General features: G+C 35.6%; 1 protein-coding gene across 13 annotated transcripts in view, besides 1 other annotated feature; it reads right to left on the minus strand.

The window, feature by feature from the left end:
* Positions 1 to 22,812, minus strand: part of SNX13 (sorting nexin 13) — a 149,734-nt gene that overhangs the window by 13,801 nt on the left and 113,121 nt on the right. For 8 of the 13 annotated variants that reach the window (NR_146932.2, NR_146933.2, NM_001350863.2 and 5 more), the window contains 4 exons: positions 21,461 to 21,530; positions 16,948 to 17,087; positions 11,621 to 11,728; positions 10,273 to 10,383 (listed from right to left, as the gene is read on the minus strand). Coding sequence is in view for 11 of the 13 variants with exons in the window: in NM_001350863.2 (NP_001337792.1) it covers positions 10,273 to 10,383; positions 11,621 to 11,728; positions 16,948 to 17,087; positions 21,461 to 21,530 (429 nt within the window). In the remaining 2 variants the exon portion in view is untranslated. Of the gene's footprint in view, positions 1 to 10,272; positions 10,384 to 11,620; positions 11,729 to 16,947; positions 17,121 to 21,460; positions 21,531 to 22,812 lie in introns of all 13 variants that reach the window. The other 5 variants (XM_011515229.3, NM_001350862.2, XM_047420073.1 and 2 more) reach the window with 1 other exon arrangement.
* Positions 20,222 to 20,408: a silencer, noted in NCBI's record as "fragment chr7:17864406-17864592 (GRCh37/hg19 assembly coordinates)". NCBI's record gives its function as "represses an EF-1alpha promoter that drives an FKBP-Casp9 reporter gene in an ReSE screen in K562 erythroleukemia cells {active_cell/tissue: K562}" and the evidence as "EXISTENCE:reporter gene assay evidence [ECO:0000049][PMID:32094911]".

Below are 22,812 nucleotides of genomic sequence, written 5' to 3' on the forward strand. Positions count from 1 at the left end.
GTGACAGAAAGCAAAAATGGTATAAAATTAAAATAATTTACATTAATAAAGAAAGAGACATCTAAAGAAACCAAACTAGAGATGCAGATGAGACTGAGCGATTCTTTAACAGAAATAAAGAAATCAAAGAAAAGACACAAAACCAAAGTCATACAAAACTACAGAAATGTTTTCCAAAAAAAAAAAATTGTTAAGTATCATAAAAGCTACCAGTGAAAACAAATTATGTTTCATGCAAAAACAAAAAAATGAATAACAGTAACAAAACTGAATCTCACTGCTTAGGAATCATAGCAACGTTAATAGATGGTAAGAAGACAAAACTCCTTCACTCTAATTTTATTTTCATAGCTTCCATCAAGAAAAACTAGAAGAGGTAAAATGCATATTAATAAAAAGTGAATTTCAAGATAACTGTACAAGGGCTGAGAGTTTTGGTTGGTTACTCCCTGGCTTAAGCTCAGCCAATAGTACCATAGATATGCTTGACGGAACATCCAACCCTAGAAGAGACTGTCACAGTACAACCCAGAATAAAACCAAAGAACAGAAACTGGCTTGAATAAGGATTTGAAAAACATGACCACTGGTGGAGAGAAACATAAAGATAAAAAGATGAAGTTAAGTCTCACGTTTGGCTAATGATTCTTTGTGTGTGTGTGTGTGTGTGTGTGTGTGTGTGTGTGTGTGCGTGCGCGCGCGCGCATGCATGCACATGTGTAATTCTAATTCTATATACTGTAGTTTTTGGTCAACCAGAATAGTATGTTCAAATCAATCGGGACATTATTTGCAACACTGTGGCCTTTCTTTTAAATGGTAATAACATATAAATAAGCTAAGTCATGAGAATATAGCGTAGAATTCTAAAGAGAAATAAGCATTAAGCATGACAATGCAACATTTAAAATGTGCAGCTTGGGAAAAAATTGCCACCTTGCTAATAAGCTAAAATGTTCACAGAAGAAATAGCATTTCAGAAGCATAAAAGGCATGAATTTCAATTTAATCTCCAACCTGAGTTTAAATAGTGTGATATCCTCAAAAATATTTTAGAAATTTATACATCTTACACTTCACAGCAGAAACTTGAGTTTACCTATTATGAACTGGTTAAATGAATACTATCTCACATGCTTATCTAGGCATGAGGCTATACTACCATTGATACTCTAAGAGAAAGTAAATCTATATAATGAATTTCCTAATTAAAAATAGTTGTCTGTGTAGCATCCCAGAAGTACTGAAGCCTTTTTTTTGTTTGTTTTCCCCACCAAAAGGTAAAGCCCAAGCATTTGTATTAGGAGGGAAGTGGGGTAAGAAGAATGAAAAACCTCTAAAGGTGACTGTTGGTTAACCATGAAAGAGGCAGAATTTCATAAGCATAAAAGCAAAGTCCATCATTGTATGAAAACATTTCCAAAAACAAGATTTGTTTTAAAGTAGATTTTTAGAAAAAAAGAAAAACTTTCAGATGATCATGCACAGGAGATTACGGATTGCCAGCTAAGTGTACACTTAGCTGTCCTTACACAGATGCTGTATATTCATTCAATTACCACCCCAGCTGAGTTATTTGTATTGTTAACAACATACACAATGGTATTTTAACTTAAATTTAGATCTCTAATTATAGCTTAAAATGCCTTCACCATGATAACAAAACTGGATAGAAAGATACTGTGTACAAAGGAGAAAGGCTACCTGTCTGTTACTTTTTCTAAAAATTGTTTCACAGATTTTCCAAAGCTAGGATACATTGTGTGACCAAATTAATGTGTTATAAAGTATTATTTCTCAAGTTCTGAATAGCCATTGATAAAATGTTTGCAGATGATCTACTTTAATAGCTATTTAATTTCCAGTGAAATATAATTAAGGAAAAAAATATTAAACTATCATTTAGCCAAAAAGGAAATAAAGTTGGAAACCCCAAATTCTTAATATGCATAAAAATTATTCTGACATTCTAAAGAGGTCAACATGACCTTGGTTATCACCAATATGGTTTATGAAAAATGTGTGTTATTGTGGATTGCCAGAAATGAATCAGAAAGATAGGTAGACGCCATTATTAATTAAAAAAAAAAAGTGAGTGGCTGGCAAGACAGCCAAATAGGAACAGTTCCGGTCTGCAGCTCCCAGCGAGATCAACGCAGAAGGTGGGTGATTTTTCCATTTCCAACTGAGGTACCCAGCTCATCTCACTGGGACTAGTTAGAAAGTGGGTGCAGTCCACAGAGGGCGAGCTGAAGCAGGGTGGGGCGTCGCGTCACGCGGGAAGTGGAAGGGGTCAGGGAACTCCTTCCCTAGCCAAGGGAAGCCATGAAGGACTGTGCCTTGAGGAATGGTGATTTTTGGTCCAGATACTACGCTTTTCCCACAGTCTTTGCAACCCACAGACCAGCAGATTTCCTCCGGTGCCTCCGCCACCACGGGCCTGGGTTTCAAGCACAAAACTGGGCGGCCGTTTGGACAGACACCAAGCTAGCTGCAGGAGTTTTTTTCATACCCCAGAGGTGCCTGGAATGCCACCGACACAGAACCGTTCACTCCCCTGGAAAGAGGGCTGAAGCCAGGAAGCCAAGTGGTCTAGCTCAGCAGATCCCACCCCCACGGAGCCCAGCAAGCTATAAGATCCACTAGCTTGAAATTCTTGCTGCCAGCACAGCAGTATGAAGTCCACCTGGGACACTCGAGCTTGGTGGGGGGAGGGGCGCCCAGCTAGGTGGGGGGAGGGGCCCCCACTAAGGCTTGAGGAGGTGGTTTTCTCCTTATAGTGTAAACAAAGCCTCAAGGAAGGTCGAACTGGGCGGAGCCCACCACAACTCAGCAAAGCCACTGTAGCCACACTGCCTCACTAGATTCCTCCTCTGGGCAGGAAAGAAAGGCAGCAACCCCAGACAGGGGCTTATAGATAAAACTCCAATCTCCCTGGGACAGAGCACCTGGTGAAAGGTGCGGTTGTGGGCGCAGTTGCAGCATGCTTAAACGTTCCTGCCTGCTGGCTCTGAAGAGAGAGGCAGATCTCCCAGCACAGCGATCGAGCTCTGCTAAAGGACAGACTGCCTCCTCATGTGGGTCCCTGAGCCCCATGCCTCCTGACTGGGAGACACCTCCCATCAGGGGTCGACAGACACCTCATACAGGAGAGCTCCAGCTGGCATCTGGAGAGTGCCCCTCTGGGATGAAGCATCCAGAGGAAGGAACAGGCAGCAATCTTGGCTGCTCTGCAGCCTCTGCTGGTGATACTCGGGCAAACAGGGTCTGGAGTGGGCCTCCAGCAAACCTGCCACAGAGGGGCCTGATTGTTAGAAGGAAAACTAACAAACAGAAAGGAACAGCATCAACATCAACAAAAAGGACATCCACACAGAAACCCATCTGAAGGTCAGCAACATCAAAGACCAAAGGTAGATAAATTCACGAAGAAGAGGAAAAACCAGTGCAAAAAGGCTGAAAATTCCAAAAACCAGAACGCATCTTCTCCTCCAAAGGATCACAACTCCTTGCTAGCAAAGGAACAAAACTGGATGGAGAATGAGATTGACAAACTGACAGAAGTAAGCTTCAGAAGGTGGGTAATAACAAACTCCTCTGACCTAAAGGAGCATGTTCTAACCCAATGCGAGGAAACTAAGAACCTTGAAAAACAGCTGAATTGCTAACTACAATAACCAATGTAGAGAAGATCATAAATGACCTGATGGAGCTGAAAAACACAGCATGAGAACTTTGTGAAGCATACACAACTCTCAATAGCTGAATCAATTAAGTGGAAGAAAGGATATCAGAGATTGAAGATCAACTTAATGAAATAAAGTGTGAAGACAAGATTAGAGAAAAAAGAATGAAAAGAAACGAACAAAGCCTCCAAGAAATATGAGACTATGAGAAAAGACCAAACCTAAGTTTGATTGCTGTACCTGAAAGTGACGGGGAGAATGGAACCAAGTTGGAAAACACTCTTCAGGATATTATCCAGGAGAACTTCCCCAACCTAGCAAGGCAGGCCAACATTCAAATTCAGGAAATACAGAGAACACCACAAAGATACTCCTCAAGGAGAGCAACTCCAAGATACATAATTGTCAGATTCACCAAGGTTGAAATGAAGGAAAAAATGTTAAGGGCAGCCAGAGAGAAAGGTCAGGTTACCCACAAAGGGAAGCCCGTCAGACTAACAGCAGATCTCTTGGCAGAATCCCTACAAGCCAGAAGAGAGTGAGGGCCAATATTCAACATTCTTAAAAAAAAAGAATTCTCAACCCAGAATTTCATATCCAGCCCAACTAAGCTTCATAAGTGAAGGAGAAATAAAATCCTTTACAGACAAGCAAATGCAGAGAGATTTTGTCACCACCAGGCCTGCCTTACAAGAGCTCCTGAAGGAAGCACTAAACATGGAAAGGAACAACCAGTATCAGCCACTGCAAAAACATGCCAAATTGTAAAGACCATCGATGCTAGGAAGAAACTGCATTAACTAACGAGCAAAATAACCAGCTAACATCATAATGACAGGATCAAATTCACACATAACAATATTAACCTTAAATGTAAATGGGCTAAATGCCGCCATGAAAAGAGACAGACTGGCATTCAGATAAATTGTCAAGACCCACCGGAGTGCTGTATTCAGGAGACCCATCTCACATGCAAAGACACACATAGGCTCAAAATAAAGGGATGGAGGAATATTTACCAAGTAGATGGAAAGCAAAAAAAAAAAAAAAAAAAAAAAAAGCAGGTATTGCAATCTTAGTCTCTGATAAAACAGACTTTAAACCAACAAAGACTTTAAACCAACAAAGGGAAAAAGAAGGGCATTACATAATGGTAAAGGGATCAATGCAACAAGAGCTAACTATCCTAAATATATGCACCCAATACAGGAGCACCCAGTTTCATACAGCAAGAGACCTACAAAGAGACTTAGAGTCCCACACAATAATAGTGGAAGACTTTAACACCCTACTGTCAATATTAGACAGATCAATGAGACAGAAAATTAACAAGGATATTCAGGACTTGAACTCAGCTGTGGACCAAGCGGACCTAACAGATATCTACAGAACTCTCCACCCCAAGTCAACAGAACATACATTCTTCTCAGCACCACATCGCACTTATTCTAAAATTGACCACATAATTGGAAGTAAAACACTCCTCAGCAAATGCAAAAGAATGGAAATCATAACAAACAGTCTCTCAGACCACAGTGCAATCAAATTAGAACTCAGGATTAAGAAACTCACTCAAAACAGCACAACTACATGGAAACTGAACAACCTGCTCTGGAATGACCACTGGGTAAATAACGAAATAAAGGTAGAAATAAATACGTTCCTTGAAACTAATGAGAACAAAGATGCAACATACCAGAATCTCTGGGACACAGCTAAACAGCGTTTAGAGGAAAATTTATAGCAGTAAATGCCCCCATGAGAAAGCAGGAAAGATCTAAAATCGACACCCTAACATCGCAATTAAAAAAACTAGAGAAGCAAGAGCAAACAAATTCAAAAGCTAGCAGAAGACAAGAAATAACTAAGATCAGAGCAGAACTGAAGGAGATAGAGACACGAAAAACGCTTCAAAAAATCAGTGAGTCCAGGAGCTGGTTTTTTTGAAAAGATCAACAAGATAGATACAGGACTAGCCAGACTAATAAAGAAGAAAAGAGAAGAATCAAATAGACACAATAAAAAATGATAAAGGGGATATCACCACTGATCCCACAGAAATACAAACTACCATCAGAGAACACTATAAACAACTCTACACAAATAAACTAGGAAATCTAGAAGAAACAGAAAAATTCCTAGACACATCCACCCTCCCAAGACTAAACCAAGAAGAAGTCGAATCCCTGAAGAGACCAACAAGTTCTGAAATTGAGGCAGTAATTAATAGCCTACCAAAGAAAAAAAAAGCCCAGGACCAGATGGCTTCACAGCCAAATTCTACCAGAGGTACAATTCTACTAGAGGTACAAATTCTACCAGAGGGACAGAGGAGCTGGTACCGTTCCTTCTGAAACTATTCCAAACAACAGAAAAAGAGGGAGTCCTTCCTAACTCATTTTATGAGGCCAGCATCAACCTGATACCAAAACCTGTCAGAGACACAACAAAAAAAGAGAAAATTTCAGGCCAATACGCCTGATGAACATCAATGTGAAAATCCTCAATAAAATAATGTGAAACTGAATCCAGCAGCACATCAAAAAGCCTATCCACCACAATCAAGTTGGCTTCATCCCTGGGATGCAAGGCTGGTTCAACATACACAAATCAATAAATGTCATCCATCACATAAACAGAACCAATGACAAAAACCACATGATTATCTCAATAGATGCAGAAAAGGCCTTCAACAAAATTCAACACCCCTTCATGCTAAAAACTCTCAATAAACTAGGTATCAATGGAACGTATCTCAAAATAATAAGAGCTATTTATGACAAAAACACAGCCAATATCATACTGAATGGGCAAAAGCTGGAAGCATTCCCTTTAAAAACCGGCACAAGGATACCCTCTCTCACCACTCCTGTTCAACACAGTATTGGAAGGATGTCTGGCCTGGACAATCGGGCAAGAGAAAGAAAGAAAAGATATTCAAATAGGAAGAGAGAAAGTCAAATTATCTCTGTTTGCAGATGACATGATTGTATATTTAGAAAACCCATAATCTCAGCCCAAAATCTCCTTAAGCAGATAAGCAACTTCAGCAAAGTCCCAGGATACAAAATCAATGTGCAAAAATCACAAGCATTCCTATACACCAATAATAGACAAACAGCCAAATCATGAGTGAACTCCCATTCACAATTGCTACAAAGAGAATAAAATACCTAGGAATACAACTTACAAGGGATGCGAAGGACATCTTTAAGGAGAACTACAAACTACTGCTCAAGGAAGTAAGAGAGGACACAAATAAATGGAAAAACATTCCATGCTCATGGATAGGAAGAATCAATGTCGTGAAAATGGCCATACTGCCCAAAGTAATTTACAGATTCAACGATATCCCCATCAAGCTACCATTGACTTTCTTCACAGAATTAGAAAAAACTACTTTAAATTTCATATGGAAGTAAAAAGAGCCCATATAGACAAGAGAATCCTAAGCAAAAAGATCAAAGCTGGAGGCATCATGCTACCTGACTTCAAACTATACTACAAAGCTACAGTAGTCAAAACAGCATGGTACTGGTACCAAAACAGATATATAGACCAATGGAACAGAACGGAGGCCTCAGAAATGACGCCATACATCTACAACCATCTGATCTTTGAAAACCCTGACAAAAACAAGCAATAGGGAAAGGATTTTCTATTTAATAAATGGTGTTGGAAAAACTGGCTAGCCATAGGCAGAAAACTGAAACTGGACCCCTTCCTTACACCTTATACAAAAATTAACTCAACATGGATTAAAGACTTAAACATAAGACCTAAAAAACATAAAAACCCTAGAAGAAAACCTAGGCAATACAATCCAGGACATAGGGATGGGCAAAGACTTCATGACTAAAACACCAAAAGCAATGGCAACAAAAGCCAAAATTGACAAATGGGATCTAAATAAACTAAAGGGCTTCTGTACAGCAAAAGAAACTACCATCAGCATAAACTGTAGGAACCTACAGATTGGGAGAAAATTTTTGCAATCTATCCATCTGACAAAGGGCTCATATCCAGAATCTACAAAGAACTGAAACAAACTTACAAGAAAAAAAACAACCCCATCAGAAAGTGGGCGAACGATACGAACAGACACTTCTCAAAAGAAGACATTTATGCAGCCAACAAACATGAAAAAAAGCTCAACATCACTGGTCATTAGAGAAATGCATATCAAACCACAAGGAGATACCATCTCACACCAGTTAGAATGGCAATCATTAAAAAGTCAGGAAACAACAGATGCTGGAGAGGATGTGGAGATACAGGAATGCTTTTACACTGTTGGTGGGAGTATAAATTACTTCAACCACTGTGGAAGACAGTGTGGCAATTCCTCACGGATCTAGAACCAGAAATACCATTTGACCCAGTAATCTCATTACTGGGTATATACCCAAAGGATGATAAATCATTCTACTGTAAAGACACATGCACACGTATGTTTATTGCAGCACTGTTCAAAATAGGAAAGACTTGGAACCAACTCAAATGCCCATTGATGATAGACTGGATAAAGGAAATGTGGCACATATACACCATGGCATATTATGCAACCATATAAAAGGATGAGTTCATGTCCTTTACAGGGACATGGATAAAGCTGGAAACCATCATTCTCAGGAAACTAACATAAGAACAGAAAACCAAACACCACACGTTCTCACACATGGACACAGGGAGGGAAACATCATACACCGGGCCTGTCAGGGGGTTGAGGGCTAGGGGAGGGATAGCATTAGGAGAAACACCTAATGTAGATCACAGGTTAATGGGTGCAGCAAAGCACCATGGCACATGTATACCTATGTAACAAACCTGCACATTCTGCACATGTATCCAAGTACTTAAAGTATAAAAAATAAAAAATGAAAAAAAAGTGTTGTATAACTGTTGGGACATACACGTGTGCTATTGTTGTTTGGTTAAAAAAAAGTGTACTTTAATATTTCTTTTATCTCCAAAAGCTGATATCAATTTATTACTTTATCTTAAAATGGATATAATCTTTAAAGGAGAAAAGATATATAAACATAAAAAACATGGAACACTAAAATGCATCTCTAGTGACAATAAAACTGTTCCAAGTTGGAATTTAACTCAATCACTTCAATCATGAAATACGCAGAAAAGCAACATATATTTTTCCCCTCCATTGTAAGGTCCACACCCTAGAACTTATTATTAAAAGAAAACACTAACTTAGAAATGTTATTAGGTTGGTGAAAAGGTAATTGTGGTTTTTGCCATTTGTTTTAAATGTCCAAAAACTGCAATTACTTTTGCACCAAACTATACAATCAAAAATCCTGAAGTAATCATATGAACTCCTTTTTTTTTTTTTTTTTGAGACAGGGTCTTGCTCTCTCACACAGGCTGGAGTGCAGTGGCATGACCATGGTTCACTGAAGCCTTGGCCTCCCAGGTTCAAGCAATCCTCCCACCTCAGCCTCTTGAGTATCTGGGACTATAGGTGTGCACCACCATGCCCAGCTAGTATTTTTTATTTTTTGTAGAGACAGGGTCTCGCTGTTACCAGGGTTAGTCTTGAACTCTTAGGCCCAAGCAATCCACCCACCTCAGCTTCCCAAAGCGCTGGGATTACAGGCATGAGCCACTGTGCTTGGCCCAAACTTCCTATAATTGTTAATTCTTACTTATTTTGTATGAATTCCTTAATCTTTTTAAAAAGATGGTCTTTTTAGGGGGACAAAGAATAGTGAGAAACTCCTTGTTCTTTTTACATTTTCATTTTGAAATAATTTCAGACTTATAAAAAGTGATAAAATACAAAGAGTGGTATAAATAATACCAGCTTCCCCCACTGCTCCTCCTGCTCCTATTGCTATTATTACTAAGAGCAAACATTTATTCAGAGGTTTATTATTTTCCAGGCACTGTAATATACAGAATATTGCATGATTCACATAATGCTCTAATGAAATTTAAATCTTCATTTCTTGAGTAAACTGAAGTACCAAAGGTTCAGTAACATGCTCAAGGTCACAGCTAGTAAATAGTAGAGCAGGGATCTGAAACAAAAGACTGCCTGATTTCAAAGCTTGTGTTCTTACCCACTAAGCTATCCTACCTAATTTAAGCACTTATTTACTGTCTTACCTTACGATTTTATTCCAAGTATGGGTCTTAAACCCTATTTTAAATTATTTAAAATATTTTATATAATAATGATTTTATTCAAAAGGCATACTTTCAGAACATATCCTGCTTAATATTTTTATCATTATTCCAAGTAAATGACATTTTCTCTCAGAATGAAACATTTCCCTCTAAAGATAACGAAAAGCTTGTGACTTGTCTCAGGCAAACTTTTCTTAATGTACCATTTCAAATTTTTTATTTCTTCCTTTCAAGCGTCTGCTGAATTATAATCAACATGTCAAGACAGGAGTTTATATGTAGATATTCCTACCAATAGTGATAAACATGCCGAGAACTTAATAAAATTTTCTAGTTTTAAAACACACGTACAAATCTAAATTTATTTTCTTTTATTACAAACAAAGTAAGAAAACAGACCTAGAAAGAAACCCAGTGCAGTGGTCTGCTTACTTACCTTGCGAGCAAAATCCCCTTTTCCTTTACTGTAGGCTTTGTTCTCAAGGAAATCATACACATAGTGAGCTAAAGCGGGGGATGCCTTCATCATTTCAGGAGCTAACAGTAACTAACAAGAAAAAAAAAAAAAAGAAGAGATTATCTTAAACTGACAGAATGCTAGAAATTACCATTGTTTATAATTTTAGCTCATAAATTTTAAGAATGTATAGTAAAAAATATTGATTTATATTTTTAAAAACCCAATTATACAGTTAGGATAAAGTCACCAATAATTTTATGACGATTAACAGTTTGGTATATATATTCTTTATATCAGCTATTTTGACTTTAAGTGTATCTAATGTGAAAGTTGTCTGAACATATTTACTATTTTATTTTCAGATCTTACAGCTTATACTAAGAAGATCCACGTTAGAAAACTGTCACGTTATTTGCATAACAATTCTAGGGTTAACATTAAATAAGCTGGGCAAGGTGGCTCATGCCTGTAACCCCAGCACTTTTGGAGATTGAGGCGGGAAAATTGCCCCAGCCAGGAATACAAGACCAGCCCGGGCAACAAAGCAAAACCCCATCTCTACAAAAAAATTTAAAACATTAGCCAGGCACAGTGGCATGCACCTGTAGTCCTAGCTACTCAGCAGGCTGAGGCAGGATGATCCCTCGAGCCCAGGAGTTCAAAGTTACAGTGAGCTATGATTGCATCACTGCACTCCAGCCTGGGTGACAGAACAAGATCCTGTCTCAAAACAAACAAAACATTAAATAAAAATGGTACGAAATAAAGTACATAAAATAATCCAAACAAAAACATTCAAGTGTTATATGGAAGCCCCAAACAAAACACTGCTTTCACAACTGCTAATATAACAACATTCTAGCTTGGTTCCTTCAATGGAACAAGTTTTGACATACTGAGTTCATTAGCTAAGAAGTATATAATACATCGACATCTAAAAGATACATTTAGGATAAAAGATTTGGGAAAAGGTGGTTTTTCTTCAAAATCTTGTAAATACATGACACAGACATTTAGCACTTTAAAAAAAAAATTCAAATGTTTGAGCCAGGAGAAGACAGGCAAGTGCATTTATCTAAACACAAACAAGCAAAATCCCTAACATGGAGTGTCTAGAAAACTTCTAAGTTAATCAATACATACAGAAATAATGTTTACAAATTACTAAGCAGACTGCACGTCACATTTGACATGCTGCACAAAAGTGGTTGCTACCCTGTGATTACAGTAAAAACATTCTGTGTGCTATATTAAATGAAAAACATTCTACACCTGTGTGCTATATTAAATGAAAATCTGTGGATTATAGTAAACATGAGCTTACCTGCAAATATGCATTTAGATCCTTTTTTCTCTTTTCTAAAAAATCTCTATCCATATTATTAAAAGTCTTTTTTCCAGGAAGTTTCAATATGCTTGAGAGACTTTCAAACTGTAAGACAAAATACATTCAATAGCACTTTTTATAAAGACAAAAGGTTTTCCCAAGTGATTATTTCTCTACATATTAAAAACATCTTCAGGCCAGGTGCGGTGGCTCACGCCTGTAATCCCAGCACTTTGGGAGGCTGAGGCAGGCGGATCACCTGAGGTCGGGAGTTTGAGATCAGCCTGACCAACATAGAGAGACCCTGTCTCTACTAAAAATACAAAATTAGCTGGGCATGGTGGCACATGCCTGTAATCCCAGCTACTTGGGAGGATGAGGGAGGAGAGAATAGCTTGAACCCAGAAGGTAGAGGTTGTGATGAGCCGAGAGTGTGCCATTGCACTCCAGCCTGGGCAACAAGAGCAAAACTCCGTCTCAAAAAACAACAACAACAACAACAACAAAAACCCATCTTCAACAGATAATTTTGCAATATATTACATGAAAATCAGAAAATAAAAAACATTGTCCAAATATACTCAAAACACAGTTCTAATATTATTTATTAATAAAAGTATTTTAAATCAAGAATGACAGATTTGCATAAATGATGAAGATGGATTTTGACTATGTGGGGTTTCATTTAATATTCTCCCTAATATTGACATTGTTCAAAAATTTCATAATAAAAGGTTTTAAAAAATATTTTCCTTAATAAGCCTTTGACCTGTGAAGTACTAGCAAATAAAAAGGCAATTTTCAAAATACAGATAGTAGTTATATAACCCCGTGTATACACAATTATAATAAATATTGATACCTTTGCCCCATCAACCACATTAAACATAAACTCATAGATTACACTAACCAAAAAAAATTAAGAACAGTCAGCATATACTTTATCTTTGTAAAATCACAAGCACAAAGTAAATGTGTATACCATAAGTCTAGCACTTATGGACTTAACATTTGGATGCACCTTCAAAGGTCCATCATCGTAATCTGTAATGCCTTGCTAAAACACTTTTTTTAACCATACGAGCTGCTAAAATAGTTTAAGAGCAAAGTCATTTAACTAGTGACTGTACCTGACCAACAGCCTAGTGCTGAAATTCAAACAGCCTTACCACTTTTCCCTTGTGATACATATCCTAAAGCGAAACAAACTTTTTAAAACAATTATTTGTTGAAAACGTCTCTGTAAAGAAAACTAATTCTTGGTGCAGAGATTAAAGAGAAGAGAAATGAAAAGGATTAGGATAATTTCCATCCCCAAACTGGAAGATTCTGATACATTAAAAGAAGGACAAATCTGATGGCTGCTTGGAGCTAAAATGTGAACAAGTTCATTATATGTTACACATGAAAGGTAAAAGCAGTTTTTTACTCCAGTATTGGGAGGAAAACCAATAAAGGGTAGAGGTAATTTATAGAGAAAACATTAACTATAGCTATATTCTCAAATTTGGTGATTTACAAAAGTATTAGAAATGGGTCCTCACTGAACATCACATGTGAAAAAAAAAATTTTCGAAGTAAATTTACTTTTTCAAGGTGTCCTAAGAGATATTTCCTGCAATATGACCTATCCACATTAAACTACTGACTCAATTTTAGAAAACACATATTTTTCCTGGTATTACCAAGTCTTGTGTGCTTGTACTGTATTTCCTCAAATTCATGTTGAAGCCCTAACATTCAGTGCCGCAGACGGTGACTGAATTGAGAGATAAAGCCCCTAAAGAGATTATTAAGTTTAAATGAGCCCCTTAGGGTGGGCCCCAACCCAACCTGACTGGTATCCTATCAGAAAAGAAAATTTGGACCCACTAAGAGACAACAGGAATGCATCACATAGAGAAATGGCCATGTAGGGACATGGCAAGAACCCTACCATCTACAAGCCAAGAAGCGAGGCCTCACGACAAACCAAACTTGTCAATACCTTGATCTTTGATTTCTAGTCTCTGGAACTGTAAGAAAATACATTTCTGTTGTTTGGGCCACCCGGTTGGTGGCATTTTATTAGGGCAGCCCTACCAAACTAATATACCAAGGAAATATGACACTATCCATTAAAACAACAATTTATTTCAGAAACTTTAAAATATTAAACCTTACTAATAAAAAGAAATAAAAACCACAGTAACAGTTATTTTCTTAAAGCCTGAATTACCAAAATAAACTCCTTTGTAAGTTGTCTGTCTGGAACAGAAACATAAATCACTAACAGTTTTCTCAAACTATAAAAGCAAGGGAGAAAATGTGAAAATTTATACTCTATATTAACTCATCATAAACTTGCTATTTAAAAGATTATTTTAAACTACGAACAAAACAATTGCCCATTCCCTGAAAAGTAATATAATCCCCTCTGCCAAAAATTCATGAAAATATTTTTAAAGGCATTTAAAAGAAATTCAAAATTCAGCAAAAAAGAACTAAAATAAATTATATCAGAGGATTTCAATGTTTAAAAATAATTCAAATACTACACATAAATCATGGACATTCTACAATCAAAGATCTTACTTTTCTACATTAAAAACACAAGTTTAGATTCCTAATACACTCCTGGAAAATTTAAAGAACAGATGTGAAATTCTGTATTAAAATAATTCAAAATTTGTTTAATATGGTGCATATTTTTACTCAGTTACCTTAATGAATACTTAATATGATCATTTAAATCATGAGTTTATCTATACCTATACAGATTTCACCAAATAAAACAGAAATGCACAGTAGCTATTACACTACAAGCTCTTAGAGGCAAGGACTTAGTCTGTCTTGTTCTCTCATATGTTGCTAGCATCAAGAAAAGTACCAGACACATAGGAAAAGCTTAAGAAATATTTGTTAAATCAATGAATGAGCAGCTCAGGCCATTTCCAAAATCATGACATTTAACATTTTAATTATTTTCTTATAAGTCTCCATAAAATATCAAATAAGATTATTAAAATCTTTAAGGAAAATAAATGATAGCTCATACATTTAGCTTGGATTTTCATTCATTCATTTATCCATTCATTTATGGAACAGGGTCTCACTCTGTCACCCAGGCTGGAGTGCTGAGATCTCAGCTCACTGCAATTTCCACCTCCCAGGCTCAAGTGATCCTCCCACCTCAGCCTCCTGAGTAGCTGGGACTACAGCCCAGCTAATTTTTTGTATTTTTGTAGAGATGAGGATTCGCCATGTTGCCCAGGCTGGTCTCAAACTCCTGACCTCAAGCAATCTGCCCACCTCAGCCTCCCAAAGTGCTGGAATTACAGGCGTGAGGCACCGCGCTTGGCATTGGAAAAAATGTTGTATCACAAAATTATATAAACAAATGAAACTTGTTGTAAAATAATTTTACTTTAAGAGCTCTATGCAGTTACCATTTATTCATGTTAACAGGCTATACTGTGACCAACTGCTGAATTACAAATCATTACATTTTTCTTCCATTATTTTATAAGGGATTTGAGTTTTTAAAATATAGATAAGGCTGAGCTAAAAGGCAAAGACCCTAAATCTTATTTACAGATACTTAATATTTTACTAAAACCTGATTTTCATTTAAAAGGAGTTTTTAATTTCTTAAGTTCTGTGAACAATCTAAACACTTAGGTAATCACAACTTTATAAGTTTTATAAAGTTTATAAACTTTATAAGAAACACACACACACACACACACACAAACACACAAAAGGAAACACCAAGTCAAAACATGTCCATTTCACTCACGTGAGCTGTTTGAAAAAGAAATTGTGCTGTATCAATTTCATGTAATTTTTGGCACTGAACTGAAAAGGGAAATTTCTGTATGAACTGTCCTCTTAAAGTTTTCTTCAAAAGTATGTTCTTCATTTACATTTGTCAATATGTAAAATAATGCCTACAGTTCTAGTCTAGAACATTTAAATCAGGGAATGATTATTCCTCTTAACTAGAAAGAAAATTACAACTATTTACACAATAAAAAATTTCATATTAAACTAAACTCTCATTAATTTGCAAGTAAATTCATTTGCAAATAAATAGAACTCTTACCAACTCAAATTATTTTTTAAATTATCATGTTTGGTTAAAGTGTAAGGATGGGAATAAAAAGATATATGAGCTATATGCTTTTAAAATATCAAACAGGTAATATTTTAAAAAGTAAAGCAATTATTTCTTCAATGTGGGGCAGAAAATTATTTCATCTCTGCAAACAAATCAAGCTAAACATGAAGAAAGGTTATATTTGACACCAGAAGAATGCGCATGTCCAAAGTTATTAATTTAATTTTCTTATTAATATAACACAAAATAGTCCTTTTAATATAGGCTTCAGAAGTCAACATTAACTTCTTTTTCATCACTTTAAAGCTATTAATAGTTTATCTCACTCTATCCACAAGATATTTTAATAAGATTATCATGGTGCCAACTATATATTTTCCACTATATTAAGTTGAAAAAGATAATTTCTGATTTCTAAAGTAGTACAACGTCATTTCAAAGCTTTAGCTCACCCAATCAGATGTCACTTTTAACTATTATTGGTTTAATACCAGTTGTATACCTAAAATCCCTGAATGAGTCAGACTTTTTAAGAGTTAAAATAAGTTAAAATAAATTTCATAGATCATTTATTCCAATTCATCAAAGATCTTTTTTTTAAGTTGAGAAAATATTTAATTTAAAAATAGGACAGGGAAATAATTTCTTTAGATTTGTTATCTTTAAGAGTACTTTTAAATTATTTCTATAAAACAAGAGGGTTGTATTTAATAAGAATTGAAAATATTACTTGGTTAATATTAAATTTATTTTATGTTGTGATTCAAAATAATTTGAGTAATGGATCAAGGATTCATTTCACTGTTACACTGCTGGATTAAACTGCCATTTAAAATAACTTCTAGGTTTAAATTATGCCTTCAAAAACAAAAGCACAAAATGTCCTACAGCAATCCCCATTCCTACTTCAATCTAAGCCCAAAAAACTTTGAAAAGCACAATACACACACGCAAATTTTAAAATCAGAAACATGTATTCACTTTAATTTTCCAAGGTATACTCTTGATAGTCTGTCACTAGTCCATGATGGTTAGGACTGAGGAAGTGTTCAACATTTGATTTACTGGTTAAATGCTCAGATTAATTCTAAGATTTATGGTGATTATACCAAAAATTCTTACCTTATTTTTTTAATTAATCACTCTATCTGGGCATCCTCAGATTTATAATCAAAATCAAATCAAGAAACAACATAAAGTACACAAGTTTTTAAAACTTCATTACCTGTTCAGTGATTCTCATGTGGAAGTCATGGAAGTCACTATAACGACGATAGGTTTTCCACATCTCCTCACTGTTTAGGTTGCGCCGGTGTACAGTGATGGCATATAATGCATATGTCTTGCCATGATCATTACAAACGCCTGCCACAGCATATGGGTCATAGTCAGCATATACTAATCATTTAAAACAAAATGAAGAGGAACGAAAGACACAAAAAAGGAGGAAGATGAAGAAAACAAAAAAGATAATATGAAATGAAGAAGAATCTGAAATGACAGACTGAGACAGAAGGATGTCAGCAAAGGATAGATTCCCATCCTCCATATTCACATCCATAAGGTATTACATATAATGGCTAAATTACAAAATAAACTAAGTTCAGTATGACACTATCAATCACAAAGCGGTACCTATTACAATTCTCTCTTCCAAAGAGCTTTCTGTTACTACATCACTACATCATTACATTGCTACATCTAATGTTACCTTAGAGAGTAAAATTAGAATTTCTTAAATTTAATATAGAAAAAATAAACAAAATGATGTTTTGTACTAGCCTTCACTCTTCAGTTGTATTACAATTAAAATCTTTTCAACTAAACAGCAACAGCCACGGGATAACATTTATCTTCTGGCAATTTTCTTTTTCTTTGATACGTTCAGTAGTTCACAAGTGCGGTTTATTCTGGGGATTTTTTTTTTTCAAAGCATTTTCGCATTACTTTGCCACATACCAAGCAAGTCAGGTAATCTCTAAAATCAAAGCCTGTTCCTATTTTGTACTAATCTTAACTAAGGAGATGCACTTTAAATCATTTTCTCTAACTTGTCTTTCTGATGTTACATTTCTTTATCTTTCTGCACTCTACAATTAACGTCTCCAAAAGTTAATAGTGAGTCTCTTCTCATCTGTATCTGGTCTATTTCTTAATCCATTCTCTGACCTTACTTTCAATCACTGTATTTTTTTGATCTCTAGAGTTTTATTTGGTTCTTTTTCATACTGTTTATTCTTGTCTTAGTATTTCTCTCTAGGAATATTTTTAACATACTTACGGCCAAGTCTATTAAGACTGCCATCTCCAAGTTCACAGGATGCAAATTATCTGCTGGTTCTGTTGGCTTTCTCTTATTGTGGTTCGTATTTCTTTCTGTTGCTATTAATTGCTTTCTGTAAGCTCATTTCCAGCTGGTTTTATTTCTCCCTGGGTGTTCTGAGTGCCCTGGGCTAGGGAAGCGTTCACATTGAACAGTGTCAAGTGTCACCACTCTAACTGCTGGTTTCAGTGGTTCAGAAATAATTTTAATACTAACTCTCTGGCTTGAGATCTTGCAGTACATAATCACTTGAGGACAGCTAAATCCAGACATACTCAGGATAGGATGCAAGCTGGGCTTTCAATTTTTTGTGGGTGACAGATACCATTTCCAGTCATGATCTTGACATTTCTTGTTTTTCTACTGATGGTAGGCTGTTTTCCTAGTTCCTCTTTGACACTGAGCTGCCCTTTGTGACTCTAGGCTTTATGTAAAGCACTTTGTTCCAGCATCCCATGGCCTTGGCCCATCCTGCCTCTTCTAAATTTGAGGGCAGGAAAATGCTATCAAAATCAAGATCCAGTCTTTATGCTACTATGAGCCCCTTGCTTTAACACCCCTTCAATTCTCTGAATTTATTTTTCCCCATGGTCTACGGCATCTGTAGATTTTCCCCTTCAGCTATACTTATAATATTGTTTTTAGCCTTTCTATGCGTGGAAGGCATGATATCTCATAGCAGTTCAGACTACCACACTAACCAGAAGTCTAAAACTGATCTTGTAATAATGGATTACGTTTATTCATAAGTGTGAATAAACGTGGTCAAGTTCTGGGGCTAACATTTTGCTATTTCGTATATAACTGGGCAGAAGAAGGTCACTACAGCTTTTTGGTAAATTAATAACATAAAAGTTAGGACTCTATATTGGCAAGAGTAGTTGGACAGAAGCTCTTCCCAAACTTTCTTAAAATTTTTTCTAAGATTTGTACTTTCTTTCCAAAATTATCTTTCATTCCCTTTCCATCTATTATCACTGTTTCTGATTTAACAAAGTATATGACTAGAAATAGACTTTGGACATCTTGCTCTGTAAGTAGCACTATTATTCACTGTTCACCTTGTCCAGTTATCTTTCTCTCAGAGACTTATGCAAATTAAACAGCACAACACGTTTTAATCACGTTAGAGAACCACCATTTCTCAATGGAGTTAGCATGGCAACAAGGGAATGGTTTTATCAGGTGTGTCCAAGATAGGTTTGGGAAAGGAAAATAGAAAGCAGAGGCCAATTAGGCAGCTAACCATAACTAATTAAAAATTAACAACAGTAAGGAGAATAGCAAGGAACAAAAAAGGAGAAGAGATATAAGAAAGAATAATCAGGATTTGTCAAAAACCAACAGGCTTGGAAGATCACCCAGGGTGGATGCACAATAGGAAGAATAATGAGGTAATTATTTAAAAAAAATGCAGAAGACATCAAGGTAATCTGACTTAAAGGAAGATATTGGGGTTACATATATTGGTTTTGTGAAGATGGTGATTTAGCTAGAAGGGTTTGTTTTTATTAGGCCAATGTTACTCATAGCAGGCGATCTGCAAACTATTTGCTAGTAATTCTTATTATGTAAAAAAAAAATAGCACTAGAATGTAAATCAACTCCATTACTAATCATATTGTTTAATTTAGCCAATACTTTTTAAAGCAAGATTTCTCAATGAAGGAAGCAATACACATACTAGACCACCATTCTTGTGTGTGTACTGCTTCCTTGGGCCATTCTTTCAGTAGCACTGGACTAGTCTATAAGCTCCTACTTTCTGAAATAAAGATGCTAAAAGATCTAGAATCAAAGAGACTCTGAAGTCCAGTTGGTAAAATAAGTATTTAATGAACCAAAAATCAAATATGTTTACCATGCATAATTACCAATGTAATGAATTAGTTCCATAACAACCCTATGAGTTATGTATTATTATTATTATTATTACTAGCCCATCTCACAGGTAAGGAAATTGAGGTACAAGGAAGTTAAGGAACTCACTCAGGTTCACCCAGCTATTTTTTTTTTTTAACTAAATCTTAATTTTGGATGGCTTACCCAACTATTAACTGGCAGAGCTGGGGTTTGAGCCCAAGCAATTCAGTAAAAAAGTTATACTCTTAACCACTATAGTATGCTGCTTCTTCAGTATTTACATATGTTTGTCAGGAAGAAATAACTTTTTTTTTTTTTTGAGACGGAGTCTCGCTCTGTCGCCAGGCTAAAGTGCAGTGGTGTGATCTCGGCTCATTGAAACCTCCACCTCCCGGGTTCAAGCGATTCTCCTGCCTCAGCCTCCCTAGTAGCTGGGACTACAGGTGTGCACCACCACGCCCAGCTAATTTTTGTATTTTTAGTAGAGATGGGGTTTCACCATGTTGGCCAGTATGGTCTCAATATCTTGACCTCGTGATCCGCCTGCCTCAGCCTCCCAAAAGTTCTGGGATTACAGGCGTGAGCCACCAAGCCCAGCCTGAAATAATTTCTTAACAATGCCTAGCACAGTGCTTCCATACATTTTAAGAAGCTAATAAATACTTGTTTTCTTCCAGAAATCTGGCAGGCAACAAATGTAAATTGAGACTTCAGTTCCAGTGACAAGAAAAAGGAAATGAAGATCTATTTTAAAAAGATACAAGTTAATGTCTTCTAAACTAGATTAAACTAGACTAGACTAGACTAGACTAGACTAGACTAGACTAGACTAGACTAGACTATAAAATCTCTTCAGTGTCTAAAATGTAAGCATGAAACTGAATTAAGGTATATACCTCAGTATGTTTATACTTCAGTATGTAATATGACAAACACACTTCTACAATCTAAGAACAGTAAGAGGTCAGATAAGAAAACTATCATTATTTAATACTCATTAGTGTTATCTAATAACTCAATAGCAATGATGAAAACTGGTTATTTTTCCGAATTTACTAACAATTCTTCACATATGCTGAATGATCACAAAGTTTTAGAGGTTTCTCACCTCATTATTCAAGCACTTCTTGAAGTTCTGCAAACCCCTATACCTGGGGCTTCATTTACCCCAGTTATCTAGCCTGACTTTGTATATATGAAAACTAATCCTGAACTAAGATCTCTCCAGAAAAGATTTAACGAGAATTATACAGACAACTATCAGCTAGACCCAAGAACAAAGAGGAAAAGAATGGTTTTAGAGTTTATTAGAAATAGTAGAACACTTAGAATATAAGCATTTTCAAATGTTGATAGTGACAATCTTAGAGAGATCAAATACATAAGCAAATAAATATAGCAGAATTTAATGAAGGACATGCTGCAGAAAAAAAGTAACAAAACTATGACTAGAGAACAAAAAAATGGTTAGTAAAAATTAAGTGTGGAAAATTATTTAGGGATATAATAATACATAGTTTTAATGCAATAATTATACTTCAAACTCTCTTACCTGTGTCTGAAATGTAGGCATGAAGTTGTACTGAGTCATCAGAAGAAACATTTGAAAGGTCATCTAAAGACTGAGAAAAAAAAATCAGGAAACAAATTTTTAAAATTTTATAGGGAAAAAAAAGAGTAAAGAATTCTACATCATATATGCATTACAATTACTCATTTCCCTGCATGTAAACTATATATTATTTGTATACCCTCCATCCCCTCCATACACAATAATATTTTCCATTTAGGCTAACAGAAAAAAAGCAAAGATTAAGAAACAATAACAAAAAATTTAGTAATAAACTTAATATATTAGATTATTTCTCCCTTAATTGCTTGTCCATCTACTGTAACTTGCTACTTTTCAATTATGATCCTTATATGGCAAGAAAATCTAGATAAAAATAAGTAGACATATTATGTTAACATTTACATTGAAATATACTAGAACCAGCTCTGTAGTTTTTAGCTTAATACTTTTGTTAATATAGAAATAATTTTTAAATTTAATTCAGATTCCTTATCTATAAAATGAGAATACTACCTAAGTCAGAGAATTATGTGGAGATTAAATAAGACATGTAAGACATTTAGAAAACTGCCTAATATAACAACTGTTAGCTATTATTCTGATTATTTATTAAATGAGGTGAATCCATAGACTATGATAGATTTTAAATGATTAGTTTTCAAAAACAATTCCACAAACATAAATTCCTATTGACTGACTCAAAATGAATCTTTTATAACTACGGCCTTTGGGTCTAAACTTTAAAAATGTTTTTGCCACATACACATATATCCACACATATATAAAAAGGAACATAACCATGTAATTAAAGCAGGCTGCAGAGTTAACATGGCAGCCTGAAACTGCTCTGTCTAGAAAAGACTGCTTCCAAGTTTGTCCCTCGGATGGAATATGGGAACTTAAATTTAGGGAAGATTCTCAGCATTCTCTAATCAATAAGAGTGGTTTACCATACCTAAACTATCTGTATAAGAAATGTTTATGCTGAACACCTACTTTCCTTCTAGGAGTCCAGAATTTTGGTATGTGCTATATAATCTGCCTCCAATAAAAAACCTGTACATTTAGTCTCCAATGAATTTTCCTGGTGGCAACATTTCACATGTGTTGTCTTGCTGATTTTGCTTTATAACCTTTCATGATAAGAAATTCCAGCCATGAGTAAGACTATGGTATGTTCTGTGAGTTTTCTTAGCAAATCACTGAGCCTGGGAGTGGTCTTGGGGACACCGAACATATATAATCTAGACATGTTTCACGTATTTATATCATTCACACATTTCACATATTCATATTATATAACTCAGATATATTTCACACTTTAAAAATAA

The sequence above is a fragment of the Homo sapiens genome, chromosome 7, assembly GCF_000001405.40.
Source record: "Homo sapiens chromosome 7, GRCh38.p14 Primary Assembly".
Classification (NCBI taxonomy): domain Eukaryota; kingdom Metazoa; phylum Chordata; class Mammalia; order Primates; family Hominidae; genus Homo; species Homo sapiens.